At 39.2% G+C, this 24,467-nt stretch overlaps 1 protein-coding gene across 9 annotated transcripts in view; it reads left to right on the plus strand.

Annotated features, from left to right (window-relative positions):
* Positions 1 to 16,956, plus strand: part of AGO3 (argonaute RISC catalytic component 3) — a 141,783-nt gene extending 124,827 nt beyond the window's left edge. For all 9 annotated transcript variants that reach the window (XM_017000523.3, XM_005270575.5, NM_024852.4 and 6 more), the window contains one exon: positions 93 to 16,956. In XM_017000523.3, the coding sequence (XP_016856012.1) occupies positions 93 to 201 (109 nt within the window). In that variant the 3' untranslated portion in view covers positions 202 to 16,956. The remainder of the gene's footprint in view (positions 1 to 92) is intronic.
* The last annotated feature ends 7,511 nt before the right edge of the window (positions 16,957 to 24,467 follow it).

A 24,467-nucleotide genomic window follows, 5' to 3' on the forward strand; every position in this document is an offset into this window, starting at 1 on the left:
TTTTGAAATTTTCTACAACAAATAGTATTTTTCGGAATTATTACATCAGAATAGAAAGTTTGTTTTTGTGTTCATTGCCACTTCTCTTACAGTGCTGAAGGAAGTCACGTTTCAGGACAAAGCAATGGGCGAGATCCACAAGCTCTTGCCAAGGCTGTACAGATTCACCAAGATACCTTACGCACAATGTACTTCGCTTAAATAGTCCAAGTATATTCTCTGAGAGGAAGTACTGAAAGATGAATTGACATACAACGTATGTTTCCAGTGAAGTCAATTGAGTAAGGACACCTCCAGCCATACAGAAACCAACACTGTGTGGGGGCCAAGGTCTGATCCTTATGTTAATACAAGGAAGATTGTTTACTTCATCAAGGAACACAGCATCATTATGCAATATGAAACCAGCCAACTGCTTTTTGTGCGGTCTCCTATAGGAAGTATCGCAATTGTTTTGTTTTCATTTCTTGTAGTCTAACCCTTTTAATGCCTTTACCTCAAGTTGCTTGGCAGCACAACTATCTTTGCAAAAAAAAGTAAAGAAAAAGTAAATGATGGTTTAAAAAATACACACCTTCATGAATAATCAAAGTGATTTTTCAGAATTATGTGTGCAAAAAATTAATGTGCATTCATATATTCTTGTAAAAGGTGTCTGTGTATTTTTAAAATATATACATCCATACTTCATATGCATATATATCTAGATCTGGATTGATAATAGATATATATGTGTCTGTTATATATTTTAGAGTTCATTCCATTGGGGAATTTTCTTTCCCTTTTATTCTACCCCCACTACCGCCTTTATTTCTCTATTTCCCTTGCCTTCATCACCTACATTTTTTTCCCAGTCCTACCAGTGACATTCAAATGTTGATGTATCTGGTTCGTTTGAATATAAAATATGGCAAACTAGAATTCTACTTTTATTTTGCATACCCTACTCCTGACTCCTATCTCATACACAATTCTGAGTTCTCAACTCTTGATATTGCTGTCTTAAGAAACAAAATTTTATATATATATGTATACATACATACACAGACACAGACACACACATATATATACATAAAATAACTTTCTGTGAGAGTGCGTCTCTCCCCTCCCACTCAGAACATACATTTACCATTTGCGCAATTTGTATATAAGCAGTAGCAACCTGAACTATTCTTTTTCTTTTTTCTTTTTCTTTTCTTTCTTTTTTTTTTTTAATGAGACAGAGCCTCGCTCTGTCACCAGGCTGGAGTGCAGTGGCGAGATCTCGGCTCACTGCAACTTCCGCCTCTCGGGTTCAAGCAATTCTCCTGCCTCAGCCTCCCGAGTAGCTGGGTTTACAGGCATGTGCCACCACACCCAGCTAATTTTTGTATTTTTAGTAGAGACGGGGTTTCACCGTGTTGGCCAGGATGGTCTCGATCTCTTGACCTTGTGATCCACCCGCCTCGACCTCCCAAAGTGCTGGGATTACAGGCATGAGCCACCGCACCCGGCCTACTATTCTTTTTCTTTAGTGAGTTTGTTAAAGCTGCTATAAATATAAAACCTGTCAGAAGTTGTAACTTTCTCTCTGGTAAGTGATGTGTATTCTGAAGCCTTCTGTTTCTATGGGTTATACATGGAAATTCTTTAAAGGTTTTATAAAGGGTAAATATTTTAAAAGATTAGAGCTCTGTAGGGTTGAGACCTCTGAAATTGAGTAGAGAGAAGAGTTTGTTGAGGGATTTTTTTGTTTTGTTTTTTGATAGTTTACTTGCTGCCTCTCATACCTTAATGTGATTTTCATATATTTTTTATATATATATATGTATGTGTGTGTATATAAACACATATGTATGTGTTTGGAAGTATAGCTTCCTTTTCTTTTATATTTATTAGAATAGTGCTTTAATAATTATAGAATTGTATTGGCAGCATCTTTTATAGAAATATAATCATGTTTATTTTAAGAACTGACAACTTGTTTTTGCTATCTTTTAGTGCAATAAGCAGTTTTAAAGGAAAGTTGTGTCTGCATCTTTACCATGGATAGTAGGAGGAACAGGCACCTCCATAGTTTAAAAGGGCAAAGAATACAGCCTTAATTTCAGAAGGAAAGTTTTGTAATTTTCAGTTTTAAAGCATATCTTTTAAAATTCATCATGATAAAAGGCTGGACGCGGTGGCTCATGCCTGTAATCCTAGCACTTTGGGAGGCTGAGACAGGTATATCACCGGAGCTCAGGAGTTTGAGACCAGCCTGGCCAACGTGGTGAAACCCCGTCTCTACTAAAAATACAAAAATTAGCTGGGCGTGGTAGTGGGCACCTCTAATCCCAGCTACTCGGGAGGCTGAGGCAGGATTGCTTGAACCTAGGAGGCGGAAGTTACAGTGAGCCAAGACTGCACCATTGCACTCCAGCCTGGGCAACAAAACCAAAACTCCGTCTCAAAAGAAAAAAAAATCATAATGAAAATGAAGTGAAATTGCCTAAATGAGTCCAACTTGAATATTAGAAATAAAGTTGAACTTTTATATAATTGTGAATAGCTTAACATATTTAAATTATTTGCAAATAGATTGTGTTTATTGAAGAATCATATTGGCTAGATGCCCATTTTCATTTACTAAAATGAATCAGGAAAATGCAAGATGATATTTTAAAACTTTTGCTAATGTATCACCAGTATAACTTTCCTTTTAAAATTAAGGTGATAGTAACAAAGGAAGTTAGGACTTTGATCATTTTAAATCAGTTAAATCACTGAAACGTGGGAAATTGTTTTACAAAACTTTTATTGATTACACTTTAAGGTATTAAAAAGTACTATAAAGCTATCAAAACTGAGTTTATCAGTAACATTGGATTCAGGGGAGCTTTGCACTTTGTAACTCATGAAAATTGCATTTTGATTTTTTTTTTTTTTGCACTGGTTCAGAGTATAGATACTACAGATTGTTTCCAGTGGGCATTGTTGTTAGCCTTTCAGAATTCCATCTGCACGTGAAACCTAATGGATTTAGATCTTTAGTTTCTCTCTTACCTGTAATCCACTATTATTGCCAATTCACTGTATTTTGAGCCTAAAATCTGAGCCCATGTCCTCTGACAGGCATGAAATCTTTTGTCCCTCTGCCAGAAAACTAAGAAAGTACTGTATTTTGTATGTTTATTATTTTGAAGTGTCTGAAATGCAATTTACAACACTGTTGCAAAGAACTTTACAAAAGGTAATATTTGTATCGTATATACATTTTTTCTCCCAGCCTTCTCCCATCTCCTCCAGAAAAATTTCCTATAAAGATGGATTTTTTTACACTGAAATTTTACTGAATATAGTCAGGATCATGGGCAAGAGAAGAAAATAGTATACCCAAGATGATAAAAATTTAATTCGTCTATGCTTGATCAGTGTGAGTAAAACATCTTCCTTTATCATGGGAGCTGCACAGATTCATGTGGGAAACTTTAGGGAATGACTGTAGATACCCTTTCTCTATGTACTCTCTCACCTAATTTTCAGTCACTCATATATGCTAGAGTGGAGCCCTTAATTTAAATCTATTTGGAAGGACTTTTTTAAGAGGAAAAATATTTTTTCTAAATTATAAAGCTTTACCTTTTGAGTGATTTCTTTTTTAGAGTGCTCTTACACTAGTCAGCATTGCTAGTTTAAAGTTGATTAACTTGAAAGAGTATGTATACTATATTTCTATTTTGCTAACAAATTGGTATATTAATTACCATTGGTTCTTAATTACAAGAAAACTTGTGCTTAGAATTTTAAGATAAAAGGCTAAGTGACAAATGCTTCTTGAAATTTGTCCTATTTATTGTTGCATTTCTGGTGTAGAATTTCTAATCTTTTTTATTTTAAAAAAGTTTTTTTTTTTAAGTTAAACATGAAATTCACAGTGACCCTTCTGCTCCTGCCCTTGCTCACTAACTATATCATGAATGCTAGATTTTGGTCTTCTTTTTTCTGTGATGTATCTTACGAGACTGACTGTAAAATATCAGTCTGGCAACTAGATAATTGATTTTCATATGAAGAAGAGTTGGGAGTTTAATGTATATTCTTGATGGTTAATGTGTCTACATAAAGTGCTGATACATGTATTATATCACAGTATCAGGTTACTGGCATGGAGGACCATACACTTACAATATTGTAGCTGCTATATTTATTTAAGTAGATTCTGACAGTTACTGCACTAAACAGTAAGGAGATAAGCAGGATTCAAGGCTAGTGTTAGACCCTTTTTTTTCCTAAGAGTAAGGACACGGAATATCAAAGTAACAAAGGGTGCTGCCATTTTAGTTTCAATTTAATATCAGGATATTCTTTGTTTTAGAAATGTAGATTTTGACTTTTACAGTTTGAAAAAGGGTACCTCAGCCTCTTCAGTACTGGTTTTTTGGCACATTTCAACAGAAATATTAGATTCCCTTTCTTTTTCTTAATAGTGATCTTCTAACAAGTTTCTTGGAAAAACTATCATTCTAAGGGAAATCCCTGTTTATAACCTATTAATATATTTCTATTCCTAGAAGAGAGTCTAGCAGGGATTCTAGTAGGAATTACTGAGTGTTTTGGAAGGCACTTGATAGAGGCATCTCTGCTTTCCAGCACAGGGATTCTCAGCCTTCTAAAGATCTAGACCAGTTTCCAAGCTAGCTTCTCCACAGCCCACCACTGCCTAGTGTTTGCTTGTGTATTCTCTAATGGATTTTAGGAGGATAGGCCTTCTGACAGAGTCATGAAAGACTGAAGGCATGTCTAGGGAAATAAAACCTGACTTGCCCTTCAGCAGGAATGACTGGCAGCGGATCTCTGTGTTCAAGGAAAGGGTGAGCGCTAAGCATGCCAGTGATGGATCCGAAGTATTTAGATGGATTGCAGACCAGGAATTAGAGACCGTTTGTGACTCAAGGAACTTGATGGATCTGTTTAGAGCCCTACATGAATTTGCCAAGGGCAGTGATTTTTATGAAATTCAAGAAGCAAACGACTTCGATACAGCTAGAATATGTTGCAGTCTTCCTATTTCAAACTTGATTTTAATATTTTTACCAAGAAGTTTAACTGACAACTCTGCAAAATTTTCATTCAGTATCATTAAACCTGAGTTAAATGTTTGCTTAGCTTATCCTCTTAGATGTTCTTCTGTTGAACAGGCAGGTTGCCCTTAACAGTAACTTGCTACTTAAATTACCTTTTATTAGTTAGTCAAGCTGCAAAAATATCATTAGTGTGGCGTCTTTATTTTGGCTTTATCCATATGAAGTATTCATTATTTTCATTCTTTTTGAGAATTCATAAATGTCTTAAAGCTTCAGTAAGAATTGTTGGGAGGTTTGACATCAAGTAACGCCTTCCTGTGTAGCAGTATAACCCTAATTTAGAACTCTTGTTTTCCTATTTCAGTCCTCATATTTGATCATAGAAAAGCACTTTTGTGATTCTATAGGAGTCAAAAAATCAGCCAAGAGTAGGTAAGTCAGTCAGCACAGAAATCAGAAAGTGAGAATTTTCTCCAAAAAATCTTTTTAAAAAAGTCCTGCTTATACTAAGAACATTCTTGATCCGTTGCAGTGTTAGAAATGACACTGTGATTAGTGAAAGCCAAGCTGAGTCCCAGGAAGCAGGGAGGGGGAGTGTGTGTGTGTGTATATGTATGAGTGTGTATATATATAATCTCACACACACACACAAAGGGAAAAATTATTTTGACTTTTTTCCTACTTTTAAAATGGTACATTTAAGTTTATAATTTTCCATGTCAGTCAACATAATTTTTTAAACTAAGGTATAATGGTCAAGGCTTGTGCTAATATTACCTACTACTCATTGAAATTTATATTACTTTACCCATCAAAACTAGTACTCCAGATGTTTACATCATTGATTAAATCTCAAGAATCTTTTGTTCTTAAAATATGGAAGTTAAAGATTTTAATTTGAATTAAAGATAGAAGGATGGTAAATTCAATATAGAGGGTTGAGATTTACCAGTGAGAAACCCTGTTGAAGTATCAGGTAAATGGTGTGACAAAATTAGAATCCTGTCAAATCACCTATCCAGCCATCGGGGTCCCTTCCTTTTTTAGACTAATTTCTAAGGTAACCAGAATCTAATGTATCTATGTTAGGGTCTCAGTAAAGCAAAGACGTTTGTCAGGGCGTAGACTCTTGAGTTAAATTTTTTAATCATTTTTTAAAGCAAGGCGGTTCTTAGAAAGTGCCTTTTCAGAAGATGGTGCTGTAGATTTTTATTTTTCAAGTAGCACGAAGCTAAGAATTTTAAAGATAAATTATTTTAGAACTCCAAGAGTGTGACAGTTTCATAAAAATAATGTTAGTTGTTGTCTTGAATCTCGTCCAAGGGAACCAAGGAAAGCTTTTATGCAGTAAAGTATCTAGGTAAATGCTCACCAAATTTATTTTGTAAATTTGAAAACAAAATATTTAGTAGAATTACCTCTTTTAATTCCCAACTGTGTTGGAGGAAATCCATAATGCACATAAAACAGCAAACCTACTTAACTTTTTAACAAGATTATGGGTATAGTACCAATGTCCAAAGGGAAATGTAACTTGCCTGGAATCATAGGCAACATTTTCTAATTAATCTTTTTTTTTTTTTTTTTTTTTGAGACAAAGTCTTGCTCTGTCACCTAGGCTGGAGTGCAGTGGCTCAATCTCAGCTTACTGCAAACTCCGCCTCCCGGGTTCAAGTGATTCTCGTGCCTCAGCCTCCCAAGTAGCTGGGATTACAGGCATGCACCACCACACCCGGCCCTAATTAGTCATTATTAAGGAGGACTGCTCATAAAGGCAGTACCAAATCATCATTCAGATCAGCTTAAGTGAGAAAGCAAAATGATAATCTCTATTGTTAGAGAAATTTTCTTTTCTAGACACCAAGGAATATTTTAAATGATTTTTTATTTTTTCTAGGATGCAGGAACTATGAAAAATGATGACAAGGCATTTAAAAGGGTATGATCAGTTAAATAGAAGTAGGGTCTGCAAATTGTGCTTAAGGGGAAATAAGCAAAAGAAAGGAAAATAGTAGAACCTTTCATACTAATTAGAAATGTAGTTACCTACCAGAGGGCAATTTTGCTCCATACCAGGAAGCAGTAAATAGCAGTAAATGATCACCTAGGCACTTCTTTCCTGTGAATTTGGTGAGCATTCTTCCAGAAAAGAAGACTAAAAGCAAACAACAACAACAACAAAAAATACCACACCTCAGTAACCTTGTATGCTGCATTATATAATAATGATAGTAAAATTATATTGTTTGGAGTGTACTGTGTCTGTTTGCAAATATACATGCACATTAAACTTTTTTGTTTTTATAATGTCTTAATAGCAATTATGAGTTTATTTTTGTTAAGATTAATTTTTCTATTGTGATGTTTATATTTATTGGCAATTTGTATGCAACTTTTATATTTTGCTTGTCGGTTTTAAGGTATTTTATTTTTATAGATATTTCTAGCTTTCCTCATTCTTTGTAATAGCAGCAAAGATTAAGATGGAGTGTTAATATACCAACCAAACTACGAATTCCATAAACTCTAGAGTTTGGATTTTTACCAATAAACCATTAACACTATTTTGTAACTTAGAATATTTAATGTTGTTTATATAGTGGGCATTAAAGACAGTCTTTAGACAGATTTCTACATGTGGAGGGGAGGTGGGGCTTTCCTGTAAGTTTGATCCTTTTTTTCCCCTTTAGTAGCAAACTAACATAACAGATTGGATTTATTTTACCTGACTACAGTTTTGGGGAAACCTGTCAAATAAATAATTGTTACATGCCTTTTTTTTTTAAATTTAAGCACATTGAAACTGCTTAAATGGTCACATTTTTCAGCATTAGGATTAAGATACCATTTTTGTAGGCCTGGAAAACAAATAGCAAATGATTCAAAATTCATTGAATTGACTTTGAAATGAAACTTTTCCCCCATAATTTGTTATATGGAAGATTTGCTACCCTGATCTTTTCCCTAGCATACTTCTAAAGTTGATTGAATCCCTGAGTATCAATGAAGAAATCAGAGTTTAAGTGGCTAGGGAGAGCCAGGTATAAAGACTGATTAATAGAGTACTTCAGCTAATTAAAAATTTAAATAGTAATAATTTATGAATGTGAATAAATTGGAAGGCAGCAAAAAGCATGATTATAGAATATTAAGTTCAATTATATATAGACAGTCCAGTTTCCTAGTGAATAGGTCAAGATTATTTGTTTTGTTTTGTGGCACTATCATAGTTCACTATAACTTCAAACTCCTGGGCTCAGGCTATCCTCCCACCTCAGCCTCTGAAGTAGCTGGGACTACTCACATGCGCCACCATGCCCAGCTAATGGTTTTTTTCTTTAGAGATGGGGGTCACTATACTGCCCAGGCTGGTCTTGAACTCCTAAGCTCAAGTGCTTCTCCCACATCAGCCTCCCAAAGTGCTGGGATTACAGCCATGAGCCACTGCATCTGGCCAAGATCAAGATTATGGATATTGGTATGTTAACTTTTAAAATAAAAGTACATGGGCTGGGCGCAGTGGCTAACGCCTGTAATCCCAGCAATTTGGGAGGCCGAGGCAGGCAGACCACCTGAGGTCAGGGGTTCGTGACCAGCCTGGCCAACATGGCGAAACCCCGTCTCTACTAAACATACAAAAATTAGCTGGGCATGGTGGCACATGCCTGTAATCCCAGCTACTCGGGAGGCTGAGGCAGGAGAATCACTTGAACTCGGGAGGCGGAGGTTGCAGTGAGCCAAGATCGCGCCATTGCACTCCAGCCTGGGCAACAAGAGTGAAACTCCATCTCAGAAAATAAAAATAAAAATAAATAAAAGTACATGAAAAAAGTATATTCCCTTAAGCAGGTAAAATACTTGCATTGTATTTTTACATCATGAATTTGCTTGTTAAGAAATTTCTTTTCTGTAAGTGGTTAAAAGATAAACTGTATTCCATCCTCTGGGTTTTCAATTCTAAATTATTGGAGCTCAATGTATGACATTTTACTGTAGTGTATTCCACTGAGAGGCAAGGAAATGGGAAAGTGTCAGGTAATTATAAATGGGAAAATTTTATTTTTATATGATGTAAAGTTTTACAGTTTAAAATAGATCAGCATGTGATTTCTTGTAGAGATTAGCCATTTCATTTCTTTTTGCATTTTTGCCAGTTACATTAGTTTGCCCTATGATATACTATTCTGAGATACTTCAGCCCCGCACACATCAAGTACTAATTGTATACAGATAGTACAGATTTGTACTCTGATTATAAGAATTTGTTACTACTAATTAAAAGCAAATTAATGTGGCTGGGCGTGGTAGCTCACACCTGTAATCCCAGCACTTTGGGTGGGCGGCTGAGGCGGGCGGATCACGAGGTCAGGAGTTGGAGACCAGCCTGCCCAATATGGTGAAACCCTGTCTCTACTAAAATTACAAAAATTAGCTGGGCTTGGCGGTACGTGCCTGTAATCCCAGCTACTGGGAAGGCCGAGGCAGGAGAATGGCTTGAACCCAGGAGGCGGAGGTTGCAGTGAGCCAAGATCACACCACTGCACTCCAGCCTGGGCGACAGAGCAAGACTCCGTCTCAAAAAAAAAAAAAGCAAAATATTTTTGCTGTGATTGTATGTCCCCTTTTAAGGATATTTATTGCGCTTATAACCTTAATAGTTGTATTCATTACATTTCAACATGTCCAAGGTTAGCAGACATGTAGTTCCTGAAAACCAACATTTTAAAAGTTGCCTCTGGGCTGGGCATGGTGGCTCACGCCTGTAATCCCTGCACTTTGGGAGGCCGAGGTGGGCGGATCACGAGGTCAAGAGATGGAGACCATCCTGGCCAACATGCTGAAACCCCATCTCTACTAAAAATACAAAAATTAGCTGGGTGTGGTGGCACACGCCTGTAGTCCCAGCTACTTGGGAGGCTGAGGCAGGAGAATCACTTGAACCTGGGAGGCGGAGGTTGCAGTGAGCCAAGATTGCACCGCTGCACTCCAGCCTGGCAACAGAGCAAGACTCCATCTCAAAACAAACATACAAACAAAAAAAGGTGCCTCTGGTCCTGTGTTTTCTTTTTCCTTCTGAAAGTTCATAGAAACCTGGCATATAGAGCTTATTTTGCTGTTTTAACTGGTTGGCTCCACAAATCCTGCTACCTGACATCAGTACAGCTTGACCGCAGTGAAGTACTTGATGGCTTGTTCATGTTTAGTTCACCTCTTTAGAAAGAAAGCTTTGTGGCCAGGTGCAGTGGCTCACACCTGTAATCCCAACACTTTGGGCAGCTGAGGTGAGCAGATCACCTGAGGTCAGGAGTTCAAGACCAGCCTGGCCAACATGGCAAAACCCTGTCTCTTCTAAAAATACAAAAATTAGCCGGGTGTGGTGGCGGAGGATGCAGTGAGCCAAGATCGTGCCACTGCACTCCAGCCTGGGCAACAGAGTGAGACTCTGTCTCAAAAAAAAAAAAAAATCGTTGTGCAGTAATAGATCATCCCAAAAAAGAATTGCCATGAACAGCGTTATGCGTAGAAAACAGATGGAAGTGTTGGTCATTAGAGCCTTGCTTTTTAAATTTTATTCTTTCCAAAAATTGGCGGTATGCTATCTATAATTTTATGTTTGATGTTGAAGAGGCAACACCAGAGACTAGAGAGGGAGATTACTCTGATATTTAGTGCCTAAAACTTTCATCTTGGCCGGGCACGGTGGCTCACACCTGTAATCCCAGCACTTCGGGAGGCCGAGGCAGGCTGATTACCTGAGGTCAGGAGTTCGAGACCAGCCTGGACAACATGGCAAAACCCGTCTCTACTAAAAATACAAAAATTAGCCAGGCATGGTGGTGGGCGCCTGTAATCCCAGCTACTCGGGAGGCTGAGGCGAGAGAATCGTTTGAACCCGGTAGGCGGAGGTTGCAGTGAGCCGAGATCATGCCACTGCACTCCAGCCTGGGCGACAAGAGTGAAACTCCGTCTCAAAAAATAATAATAATTTTAAAAATAAAAGACAAAACTTTCATCTTTATTTCATGGCTTTATTTCATCTTTATTTCATTTTTGGTTGGGAAAACAAACAAAAATCTCTTAAGTTAGTCCTTTAATAGTCTTTTTAGAACCAAAGAAGGAAAGACTGCAAAAATGTTGCATACGTGACTCTTTATTGTCAGAATCTGTAGAAACTGGAGGTCTTTGTAAAGAAATAGACTAGTAGGATTGTGAGAATATATAGTGAGGGGGGATTTAGGATAAGGCTTCCTTGCTGGGATCCTTGGACAGAAACCTTACAATTGTTTAATATTTGCAGAGTAAAAGAGCAGCTATTGCTATTTGAACCTACAGAAGAGACCTAAGACGAGCGTCTCTGTAATCTAAATTTATATGATAATGTTGTCCCAGACCCAAAGGCACACCTATTCTCAGTAACTTAGAGAAGTCTTGGAAGTTGCTTCTGAATTACAGTAAAGAAATTAAATGAAGTCTTTATCCTTAAATAGGGCCAGGCATTGCTATCAACATAGTGTCTTTGGTTTTCCCCTTTAAATAGAAAACACCAAGCAGGGCCTTTCCAGACAATGTAGTCTTTCCTGTAAAGAAAATGGTTTTGGTGTGGGATTTGGTAAAAACACTGGTTAGTTTGTAATGAAGAAAGAATTTTGGCATAGACAGTCCGACCCAGTTCATGGATACAGTTTGATCCCAGGGAGTTTAACAAAAGGAAGCTTTGGTTTTGCTAGCAACAGACTTGATCTTCTATAGTAATTAATTGCAATTAAGGTTTTCCAGGAGCTTTCTCATTTCTTAGCCCAGGGTCCAACCCCATTCCCTCTTTAAAAAAGAAAGAATAGGCCGGGAGCAGTGGCTCATGCCTGCAATCCCAGCACTTTGGGAGGCCAAGGCAGGTGGATCACAAGGTCAGGAGTTTGAGACCAGCGTGGCCAATATGGTGAAACCCTGTCTCTACTAAAAATACAAAATTAGCTAGGCGTGGTGGCAGGCGCCTGAGGCTGAGGCAGGAGAATCCTGCTAGTCTGAATTACAATAAGGAAATTAAATGAAGGATTTATCTTTAATAGAGCCAGGCATTGCTATCAACATAACATGTTTGGTTTTCCCCTTTAAATAGAAAACACCAAGCAGGGCCTTTCCAGACAAGGTAGTCTGGAACCCAGGAGGCGGAGGTTGCAGTGAGCCGAGATCCCACCATTGCACTCCAGCCTGGGTGGCAGAGTGAGACTCCGTCTCAAAAAAAAAAAAAAGAAGGAATAGGAAAAGGACTTAGAGGCAGTTGATATAGAATTCTACTGGGGGTAAATGACACTCTCAAAATACTTGGGAAAGAAGAATCACATGCCACAAGCTATAGCTTGATTAATATTTTAGCATGTTTTCCATGTTTGTATTCTAAAGTTTGTTTCCTTTGACATTCCATTATCTTACTTACTAGAGTGCCACCATTCTTATTTGTAATACAATCAGTGTTTTATGCCATTTGTGAATCACACAATTGTTCTTTTTTCCCCATCACACACACTCACACACAAACACACACACTGTTAAAAATAAAAGAGGGGAAGGATAAAACAAAAATAGATAGAATGATGATTATTACAATGTAACTTTAACATATATGAAGAGAAATTCTAACTCAGTTAAGTGAGAATTAAGATTGAAAGTATTAATGTTGCAAGTATTATCTCTAGCCATGGAATTTTTTGCTGGCTATAGAATGCTAATGTGAACAGAGTATATATCAGGAATATGATGTATTATGGCACAGTGATAATATTATTGTTGATATTAGCCAGATGTGGTGGTTTGCACCTGTAGTCCGAACTTCTCAGGAGGATGAGGCAGGAGGATAGTTGAGCCCAGGAGTTTAAAGCAAGCCTGGGCAATACAGCAAGACCCCAATCTTTAAAATAAATAAATAAATAAGAATTATTCTTGAAAGTAATATTCTAACCTTCTGCCAACCAACAGAGATCCTCATATTCTTAAAGAAAATTAATATAGCTTATGGTTTTGATAAATTGGACTCTGATTTAAACTTTAAAATGTTATGACTTTTATTCTGATACATGGCTTCTAAAATATGTAAAAAATTATATTGAATGAATTAATACTTAACCTGTTCATTTCTCTTAATTTATGTATTTATTCTGACTTTATTATACAGCTTATGTCTCACATCTGCCTTCTTGATATGTGCAAAATATTGTGTAAAAATAGTTTAAAACTCATCCCAGTTCCTAGTCAAGCGTGGGCTATAAGAGAGAAGGCTTAAGGTGTTCTTTAATGGAGGAACTTTTGAAAGATCACAAATGGAAAAAGCCTATTGAGAATTTATTGCCTTTGAGAGTAGAAAGGGCTCTAGAATATGAGCCAGAGACTTGGAATTTAGTAATAGGTCTCCCACTGATTTGCTCCGTGTCCTTAGGCAATTCGTTTAATCTCTGTGTGCCTAGTTTCCCCTTGTAAATAAGAGTGGTAATACCTGTCCTCACCTACCTCACTAAATTGTTGGAGTTCTTTTGTTCTGAGTCAGGGTCTCACTCTGTTGCCCAGGCTGAACTACAGTAGTGTGATCATAGCTCACTACAGCCTCCAACTCCTGGGCCCAAACTATCCTCCTGCTTCAGCCTCCCAAGTAGCTGGGACTAGAGGTACATGCCACCACACCCAGCTAATTATTTTCTTTTATTGCAGAGATGGGGTCTCACATGTTGCCAAGGCTGATCTCTAACTCCTGAGCTCAAGCAGTCCTCCTGCCTCAGCCACCCAAAGTGCTGGGATTATAGGCATGATCACTAAATTGTTGTAAGAATAAGATAATGTTTGCGGAAGCATTTGAGTTCTCCAAAGGAAAAGCTATTCAGACGTTCAAGATAATAGAAGAGTGTTGTGTGAAGGATTCCTTTCCAGTTTGCCTCTGTGAAAATGTCTTTGTTGTAGATCATTTTATGAAATAGGAATAAGAGAAACATAGGCCTTATCATGGTGTAGTGTTCACTTACAAACATATCCTGTTGTTTCTTCCCTGCAAGATATCCAGCACACAGGCTGAATTTTTCTTTATAATAATCCTTGGCAAAAGCATAACTTTTCAAAAACCAAATGATTTTAGTGGTGCTATGGCAGCTGCAGTTTTGAGTTAGATTAATGTGGTGAAAACCATCAAATACTTAGAAATTGACTGGGTGCGGTGGCTCATGCCTGTAATCCCAGCACTTTGGGAGGCCGAGGTAGGTGGATCACTTGAGGTCAGGAGTTCGAGACCAGCCTGGCCAACATGGCAAAACCCCGTCTCTACTAAAGATACAAAAATTAGCTGGGCACGATGGAGGGTGCCTGTAATCCCAGCTACTCGGGAGGCTAAGGTGGGAGAATTGCTTGGACCCAGGTGGCAGAGGTTGCAGTGAGCCAAGATTGTGCCACTGCACTCCAGCCTGGGCAACAAAGCGAAGCTCTGTCTCAATAAAAAAAAAAATAATAATAATAAAATACAAATACTTAGAAATTAACTTCGCCTTTGCCTTCAGGCACTTTTGCTACATGTTAGCATCAGAGGCTATTGTACAACTAGATGGTTATTCCCTGTTTCTTGGCCGATTTTTGGTACCTTTCTTTGAAGAAGAGGGTTAGATTTTAAGAAAGAAAGTGTGCTTATTTCACTCATGTCTTTGCAGAATTTAACTTTGCTTTACTTTAAAAATTCCAATCATCATGTACCTATAAAGGTTAAAATATAGTGAAAGTTTCTGCTTCATGTGAATTCAATTCTGAGCACCTGCAGGTCATATCAGGTGTCTGATGCAGTTACCTTTATAGATCGTGGCAGGTCCTTACATTTCAACAGGCTTATGCATTTCCATGGGGGGAAGAGATTCTGTTTCTAGGAAATTACAAAGGGCACACCACTGCAGGGAGTGTAAACAATTCTTTGTTGCAACAGACAAGATTTTTTTTAAAAAAAGAAAAAAGGATGCATTTTAGGTACACAGGGTATGGACGCATTCAACATTTACTTTTATCTCCACAGATGCCAACCTCCCCTTGTTGCAGGCAGTTGGGCTTTTCCAACTCATTGCTAACAAAGCTGGCATCTGCATTAATTTCAATGAGAATTTCAAGTACTGAAGATGAAAAGTTGGGGAGATTCATGTTTGAAAAATGAAAAATGAACAAAAAATCCACCTTGTGCAGTGAGATAGCTAACGCTGATATATCAGGAATAATTTTAAACTATTTTTGCTGTAATGTGTAGCTTTAATGTCTCTTTTCAGTTATGGACCCATAAAAGTATTCCTATATCTTGTGAATAAAGATCATTCTTGTGGACTAGTACGTGGATGCATTCATAGGCTTTGGGAAGCAGTGGTGTGCGTATGTGTGTCTATATCAATATTTTATGTTTATAACTCTGCGTATTAAGTTTATATAGAAAAAAATAATGTCTTTCTTTAGTGTTTGGGGGACTCAATGGTAATATGACCATTGCAGTGTAATCTGACTGCTCACTCTAGAGAACACTTCTGTTATACACAATGCACATACAAACATACACCCCTAAAGCGTAGCTAACTGCTCCCACTAGATAATTGCTGCTAAAAACAAAACAAAACAAAACAATACAAAACAAAAAAAACCCTAAGTAATGGAGGAAGAAATAGCATTCTTTTAAAAGGGGCTTTTCTGAAGAGTAAAATGTAAATACAGGACATGTGGGGAGGGTGGGGCCGCCTGCAAAATGTCCTGAAGATGGACAAATAGCCTTTTAAATTCTACTTTTTAACCATCTTTACCGTGTGTGCCTATTTGTATTGCAGATGTGAACTACTATTTTTGGAGGTTGATATCAGTATGTTTTGAAACTGAATTATTACATAAAATCAGAGTAACCTCTTTCTCCATCCTCCTTTTCCACACTATTCTTGCCAAATATTTCTACTGAAACCCAGTTTCAGCAAGGCAAAATGATGGGACTCTCAAACCTCCCTCCTCATCTTCCCTTCCCCTCTGTCTTATGCCTGGCCTGGCCTTTTTTGTTGTTGTTGGCTTTTCATAAGTAAGAAAAATTTATTGTAGTATTTCAAGACTGCAGAATTTCAAGTGTATATCTATAAATCTTTTTTTAAAATCTTCGGCTACACAGTAACATCAATTAAAACAGAAGAGTGAGTCTAAGTCTGTAATATGCTGTAGGACCAGATAAGATTTTGAATGAGACTAAACTTGACTGCCATATTTTAAGAGGAAATTGAAACTTTATGGTGGAGAATGGATGAGAGCAAGTCTATGATATATATGTAGTCATTGTATAATTAGAAACACCAAATGCTGAATCCTATCACTGTGTTCTTGGGGGCCAGGCCTTGGATTTGGTTGTCATTTAAACTCCTTGAAGATTATATGTAATTATAATGAGCAGAAGGCAAATAAAGTTTTTGAACAAAAGTCCTTGTTTTCAGTATTTAAAATTTGGTAATATATTTTCTTTTTCAGTTAAACTATCTTCCCCACAAAAAATATTATACTTCAGTTAAACTATCTTCCCCACAGAAATTATTATACTACGAACAAGTTATGAGTGAGACTGAGAAGCTTGAAGAAGCTGGTTTTTAAGCAGCTCATATAATATTTTGTGTTAAAGAAAGTGTCATTGTTTCCTGTTGGGAGGCAAATAACAACAACAACAAAAGAAATTGTCATGATTCTTTCTGAGCCAAACTGTCACGAAATGTTCTGTGACAGAACCACTACTCTTTTTTCTGCCATTCTGCCTACTGGAGAGTTCTATGTTGTATTTGTTTTTAATCCTTGATTTTAAAAATATTAATGGTTTTAGTGTTGCTTAGCTTCAGTTTGAAGTATAACTTTCACTAATAACTGCAATAAAAAGAAAAGCTTTGCTCTTAAACTTTCTCTTGTGTGGTCATCATTACAGCTCTTCAGACTAGGGAACGAGACCCATGTGATACAGTGGAAGGCACTTAAGCTTTAGTCATGAAGTCCTGGGTTCAAACCTTGATTATGTGACACTCTGAGCAAGTTCCTTGATGCTTCTAAATCTCAGTTTCCTCCAGTGTGAAAGGAGAAAGTAGAACTGTTGGAGCATTAAATGAGACAATGCATAGAATGTTTCCAGTGCTGGGCATGTGGCTGGAGCTCGGGTTTTTCAAAGACTGCCTACCTCCCCTCTACCCCACCCATTTTTCACCTTCTTAAATAAAAGACAGTGAGTGGAGTGAAAATGGGGAGACGACGCTAGGCTTCCAAACTTTGCCAGGAGGTGAAAGAATTAAGAATATGTAGGAAAAAAAGGAACCAAAATGAACTGGAGGAATCTTTACAGGCCCAAAAGTGGATAAACAGCCCCGGTATGCGATGCAAGAAAACACTGGACTAAGATTTTGGAAATCAGCTCTCAACCCTCTTTAACTGCATAATTTCAGGTATAGCTCTTCATTTTATAATTAAAGTTGTTGGACTAATACCAGAAGTTGCAAGTTGGCAGGCCAGTTTCAGTCTGCAAATAATTTTTAATTGTTTAAATTTTTTTCTTTCTTTTCTTTCTTTTTTTTTTTTTTTGAGATGGAGTCTCGTTCTGTCACTCAGGCTGGAGTGCAGTGGCGCGATCTCGGCTCACTGCTACCTCCACCTCCCGGGTTCAAGCGATTCTCCTGTCTCAGCCTCCTGAGTAGCTGGGATTACAGGCACATGCCACCACGCCTGGCTAATTTTTTGTATTTTTTGTAGAGACAGGATTTCACCATGTTGGTCAGGCTGGTCTTGAACTCCTGACCTCATTATCCGCCCACCTTGGCCTCCCAAACTGCTGGGATTATAGGCATGAGCCACCATGCCAGGCCAATTGTTTAAAATTTTTTAAGAGAGACAGTCTCACTCTGTCGCCCAGGTGGAAATGCAGTGTCAGGATCACAGCTCACCTCCTGGGCTCAAGGATCTTCCTGCCTCAGCTTCCCAAGTAGCTAAGACAACGGGTGTACACCACCACATTCGGATAGTTTTTAAAATTTTTGTAGAGATGGAGTCTCACTATGTTGACCAGGCTGGTCTGAAACTTCTGGCCTCAAGCAGTCCTCCCACCCCGGCCTCCCAAAGTGCTTGGATTACAAGCATGAGACACTGCACCTGGCCCAGATTTTATCTTCTCTTTAAAAATAAGAACCAAGTGTGGTGGCATCCCCCTGTAATCCTAGCTACTTGGGAAGCTGAGGCAGGAGGCCTGCTTGAGGCCAAGAGTTCGAAGCTACAGCAAGTTGCGATCATACCACTGTACTCCAGCCTGGACAAATGAGCGAGACCCTGTCTCCAAAACAAAAAATAGTAAGATACGCTAGAACCAAACAAATCACCAGTGACATTAGAGCTCAACTGCTTGAGACTTTCTTCAGAGCAAGGGTGCTCAGAACACCACACTTAAGCATCAGAAATGAGGTGGCAGTCTAAGGTAAAATTCTAAGTGTTTGTTGTTGTTGTTTTGAGACGGAGTCTTGCTCTGTCGCCCAGGCTGGAGTGCAGTGGCGTGATCTCTGCTCACCACAACCTCCACCTCCTGGGGTCAAGCGACTCTCTTGCCTCAGCCTCCAGAGTAGCTGGATTACAGGCGCCCGCCACCACGCCTGACTAATTTTTTGTATTTTTAGTAGAGACGGGGTTTCACCATGTTGGCCGGGTTGGTCTCGAACTCCTGACCTCAGGTGATCCACCTACCTTGGCTTCCAAAGTGCTGGGATTACAAGCGTGAGCCACTGTGCCTGGCCAGTGAGGGGCATACATCTGAATGTAGTTTTCATGTTTAATTTGTCTGGTTATTTGACAGATTTATCTCAGCTGCTGATACTTGCATACCTTGCTTATGTTTTCAGGAAATTAATTAGGTTGATGTGTCAATGCCAGGAAAGGATGTGTACGTTTTCACAATATTTGACTAAATGTTATGAAGGGAACTGAAATCTTTAGTTTTATCTATAGAAGAAAGATGACTGTTTTCCTGTCATTTCTGTTGCTTCCAGTTTCTACAGTCTATGAAGATCTTTATGATGCCTTTTTTTTTCTTTTCTTTTCTTTGAGACAGGGATTTGCTCTGTCACCCAGGCTGGAGTGCAGTGGCATGATCTTGGCTCACTGCAACCTACACCTCCTGGATTCAAGCAATTCTCATGCCCCAGCCTCCCAAGTAGCTGGGACTACAGGCGTGTGCCACCACACCCAGCTAATTTTTGTATTTTTAGTAGAAATGGGGTTTTGCCATGTTGGCTAGACTGGTCTTGAACTCCTGACCGCAAGTGATCCCCTTGCCTCAGCCTCCCAAAGTGCTGGGATTACAGGCGTGAGCCACCGCGCCCAGCTACAATGCCTTTATAAAGTAGTACTTTTCTTGTACTTTTCCCTATTAAAATATCTTTCTTGGGCTGGGTGCAGTGGCTCACACCTGTAATCCCAGCACTTTGGGAGGTCGAGGCAGGTAGATTGATTGAACTCAGGAGTTTGAGACCAGCCTGGGCAACATGATGACATCCCATCTCTACAAAAAATACAAAAAATTAGCTGGGCATGGTAGTGAACCTATAATCCCAGCTACTCGAGAGGCTGAGGTGAGAGGATCACTTGAGCTTGGGAGGCGGAGGTTGCAGTGCATGGAGGTTGCAGTGAGCTGAGATTGCGCCACTACACTCCAGTGTGGTGACAGAGCAAGACCCAGTCTCAAAAAAAGACTTTTTTTCTTAAGAATAACGCTGGGGTTCAAAATTTATAATTATAAACAAAACAGATACCTTAGTGGCTTAGTATCATGAAGTCCAATATGTTCAGTTCTCAACTGAAACAAAATTTTAATAGGCTTTGCTAAATGATTTTAAAAATAGGCCAATTCAAAAGTACCTGAGGCTGGGCATGGTGGCTCATGCCTGTAATCCCAGCACTTTGGGAGGCCAAGGTGGGTGGATTGTTTGAGTCCAGGAGTTCGAGACCACCCCAGACAACATGGTGAAACCCCGTCTCTACAAAAACTACAAAAATTAGCCAGGCATGGCGACATGCTCCTGTAGTCCCAGCTACATGGGAGACTGAGGTGGGAGGATCACTTGAGCACTTGAGCCCAGGACATGGAGGCTGCATGTGCCACTACACTTAAGCCTGGGTGACAGAGTGAGACCCAGTGTCAAAAACAAAACAAAAGCACTTGAAACTATTAAATGTATAATATTACTCTTCCTTTACTGTAACTATGTTGCTAAATAGAATTTGCATATTATATTCCAAAGCAAAAATAAAAAAAAAAAAACCATAGGAATGGTCTGATGCTGCACCAGACAGGATTTCAGTCAGCACCAGCATTCAGATGGTTTTCACATGTATTTTATACACATGTAAAATTAAGATTAACTGGCCAGGCGTCGTGGCTCACACCTGTAATCCCAGCACTTGGGAGGCCAAGGCGGGTGGATCACCTGAGGTCAGGAGTTCGAGACCAACCTGGGCAACGTGGTGAAACCCTGTCTCTACTAAAAATACAAAAATGTATTTGTATAATTATATTTGTATAAAAATACAAAAATGTATTTGTATTGTCTCTACTAAAAATATAAAAATGGCCGGGCACAGTGGCTCACGCCTGTAATCCCAGCACTTTGGGAGGCCGAAGCAGGCGGATCACGAGGTCAGGAGATCGAGATCATCCTGGCTAACACGGTGAAACCCCGTCTCTACTGAAAATACAAAAAAATTAGCCGGGCGTGGTGGTAGGCACCTGTAGTCCCAGCTACTCGGGAGGCTGAGGCAGGAGAATGGCATGAACCCAGGAGGTGGAGTTTGCAGTGAGCCGAGATCCCGCCACTGTACTCCAGCCTGGGCAACAGAGCGAGACTCAGTCTCAAAAAAAAAAAAAGAAAAGAAAAAGAAAAAAGAAAAAAAATTAGCCAAGCGTGGTGGTGCACACCTGTAGTCCCAGCTACTCAGGAGGCCGAGGCAGGAGAATTGCTTTTTGTAGTTTTTGTAGAGACAGGGTTTCACCATGTTGCCTGAGGCAGTCTCGAGAAGGCAGAGGTTGCAGTGAGCCAAGATCGCACCACTGCACTCCAGCCTCGGCGACACAGCGAGACTCTGTTTAAAAAAAAAAAAAAAGATTAACCATCTTTTTATATTTTGTTTTGTAAGTTTAATCTTAATTTTTTCCAATTTATATTTGTGCTTGTATAAAGATTTTAGACTATGAAAGTTTGCCATCTGTGGTATCCCTTTGAATCGTATTTAAAAATACATATTCATAGGTGCTATCTAGACCATTCATAAAACTATTACTGTTGTCTAAGATTCTTTAGATATTAATCTGAAAATCTGCACAAAAGTATATCACTTTACTGAATGCAGCAAAGTTACTTGCCATTTATTTTACCCTGAAGACTTTTCTTTCTTATGGAAAAAGAGTGGGTTTTGAAGATAAGAAGGGCAGATGGGGTGGTAGGAATCATTGTTTTAACCTCCAGAGCAAATCATCTGCAGCCGTGTAGTTGAAGTGGGCCGTTATTTCTCTGACTAGTATGCTATGCAAAATGAGTTAGCCTCACCCAAATCTCGGCCTTGACAATCTCAGCATGAATTTCTTTGGCCTGAGACAAGTACAGGACCAGCAGAAAAGCAAGCTGGAAAAAAGGTCAAAGTTAAGCAATTTCCTATGGAGTAATGAACAACAAAAAATGTCTGTGAGAGAGGTCAACTATTCCCAGTCACCTCCTGCTAAAAATATTATTAATATTTTAATAAAAATATTAATATTTTAATAAAAATATTAAAAATAATAATAATTAAACTCAACTCCCTTGGCAAACACTCACATAAAACCTTCAAATCTTCTACCAGACCTTGAAAGAGGGTTACTTGACTGTAAATAGCCAAGCCAGTCCCAATTTAAGACAGAATCCTTCTAATGTGACATTATATTGTTGTTGCTTGAAAAACATTTTCACGTGGACAGTTCTCACATTTCTTAAAATGGCAGTTTCCAGAGAGAAGGGTGGAGTTTGATTTAATAACAAACCTCAGGTCGGGCACAGTGGCTCATAATTCCAGCACTTTGGGAGGCCGAGGCACGCAGATCACTTAAGGCCAGGAGTTCGAGACCAGCCTGGCCAACATGGTGAAACCTATCTCTACTAAAAATACAAAAAAATTCGCCGGGCGTGTTGGTGCACACTTGTAATCTCGGCTACTAGGGAGGCTGAGGCAGGAGAATTGTTTGAGCCCTGGAGACAGGTTGCAGTGAGCCAAGATCACACCACTGCACTGCAGCCTGGGCAACAACACAGTGAGACTCTGTCTTAAAAATAACAACAGGCCAGGGCCGGGCACGGTGGCTCACGCCTGTAATCCCAACACTGGGAGGCCGAGGCGGGTGGATCACCTGAGGTCAGAAGTTCAAGACCAGCCTGGTCAACATGGTGAAACCCCGTCTCTACTAAATATACAAAAATTAGTTGGGCGTGGTGGCGGTCGCCTGTAATCCCAGCTACTCGGGAGGCTGAGGCAGGAGAATCGCTTGAAGGCAAAGGCAGGGGTTGCAGTGACCCGAGATCACACCGCTGCACTCCAGGCTGGGCCACAGAGCAAGACTCTATCTCAATAAATAAATAACAACAACAAAAAAATCCTCCACTTAAATCTTTGCTATAATTTGCCAAGTATGTTAGTAAGATGTTTAGGACTTTACATATGACAGAAGGAGGATAAAGGGGGAAAACGTCTTTAAATTTGTACTTTGTTTTTCCACTAAGAGGGAAGAAAGGCTGAAATGGAACAGATTTTACTAAAATTACAAAAATACTATTAGGGTGTTCAGCTTTGTATTTCTCCATTTTGGAAATGACTTGATATTTTAGCAGGCTCCTAAATAGAATGGGTGAATGAAATTATTATTTATCTTCTCAATTGTCTTTATACCTATTTTTCTCTTAGATTTAAAGTAAATGGAAAACAACCTCAAGTCAACAAAGTCAACACAGAAATAGGAAATACTATTTTGTTAGAGATTGGCTCCATGAAAGAAAAATAAGAAAAGATAACATATCTGAAATATTTCCAGATAAAAGGTAGTTAATAATCAAAGATAAATTGTAATCTGGTGTTTAACTGGTTTGTAATTTCTACAACTATCAGGAAGCGTAGTAAAAGAGCCAGGCGCAGTGGCTCACGTCTGTAATCCCAGCACTTTGGGAGGCTGAGGCGGGCGGATCACCTGAGGTCAGGAGTTCAACACCAGCCGGGCCAACATGGCGAAACCCCATCTCTACTAAAAATACAAAAATTAGCTGGGCTTGGTGGCGTGTGCCTGTAATCCCAGCTACTTGGGAAGCTGAGGTGGGAGAATCACTTGAACCTGGGAGGCGGAGGTTGCAGTGAGCCGAGATCATGCCACTCACTGCACTCCAGCCTGGGGGACAGAGTGAAACTCCGTCTTAAGAAAAAAAAAAAAAAAAAAAGCACGGTAAAAGAAAAAAACAAAAAGAAACATACTAGTGTATTCCAATAGGAGAGACGGATATGTAGTAGTACTAAGAAGTATGTATTTGCCTCTGAGCTTTGGAAGTGTACTCTAAACATAGGTATTTAAACTTCAGGGGACAAGATAATACAACTGCAAATGTACACTGCCCACAAAACAGACTGCAAATGTACACTGCCATAGAGGGATAATAATTATCTTCAGTGGCCAGGTGTGGGAATACCTTGTCAAGATATTATTTTTCGGCCGGGCACTGTGGCTAATGTCTGTAATCCCAGCACTTTGGGAGGTCAAAGGGGTGGATCACTTGAGATCAGGAGTTCAAGACCAGCCTGGCCAACATGGCAAAACCCCGTCCTTACTAAAAATACAAAAAGGTAGCCGGGCGTAGTGGCACACGCCTGTAGTCCCGGCTACTCAAGAGGCTGAGGCAGGAGAATCGCTTGAACCCAGGAGGCGGAGGTTGCAGTGAGCTGAGATTGTGTCACTGATCTCCAGTCTGAGCAACAGAGGGAGACCTTGCCTCAAAAGAAAAAGAAAAAAGATTATTTTTTGGCTGGGCGCAGTGGCTCACGCCTGTAATCCCAGCACTTTGGGAGGCCGAGGTGGGCGGATCATGAGGTCAGGAGATCAAGACCATCCTGGCTAACATGGTGAAACCCCATTTCTACTAAAAATACAAAAAAATTATCCAGGCCTGGTGGCAGGCGCCTGTAGTCCCCGCTTTTTGGGAGGCTGAGGCAGGAGAATGGCGTGAACCCAGGAGGCGGAGCTTGCAGTGAGCCAAGATTGCACCACTGCACTCCAGCCTGGGCAATAGAGTGAGACTCCATCTCAAAAAAAAAAAAAAAAAAAAGAAAAGAAAAAAGATTATTTTTCATATTAGAATAAGATCAGCTGACCAAATA

The sequence above is a fragment of the Homo sapiens genome, chromosome 1 (assembly GCF_000001405.40).
Source record: "Homo sapiens chromosome 1, GRCh38.p14 Primary Assembly".
NCBI classification, from domain to species: Eukaryota; Metazoa; Chordata; class Mammalia; order Primates; family Hominidae; genus Homo; species Homo sapiens.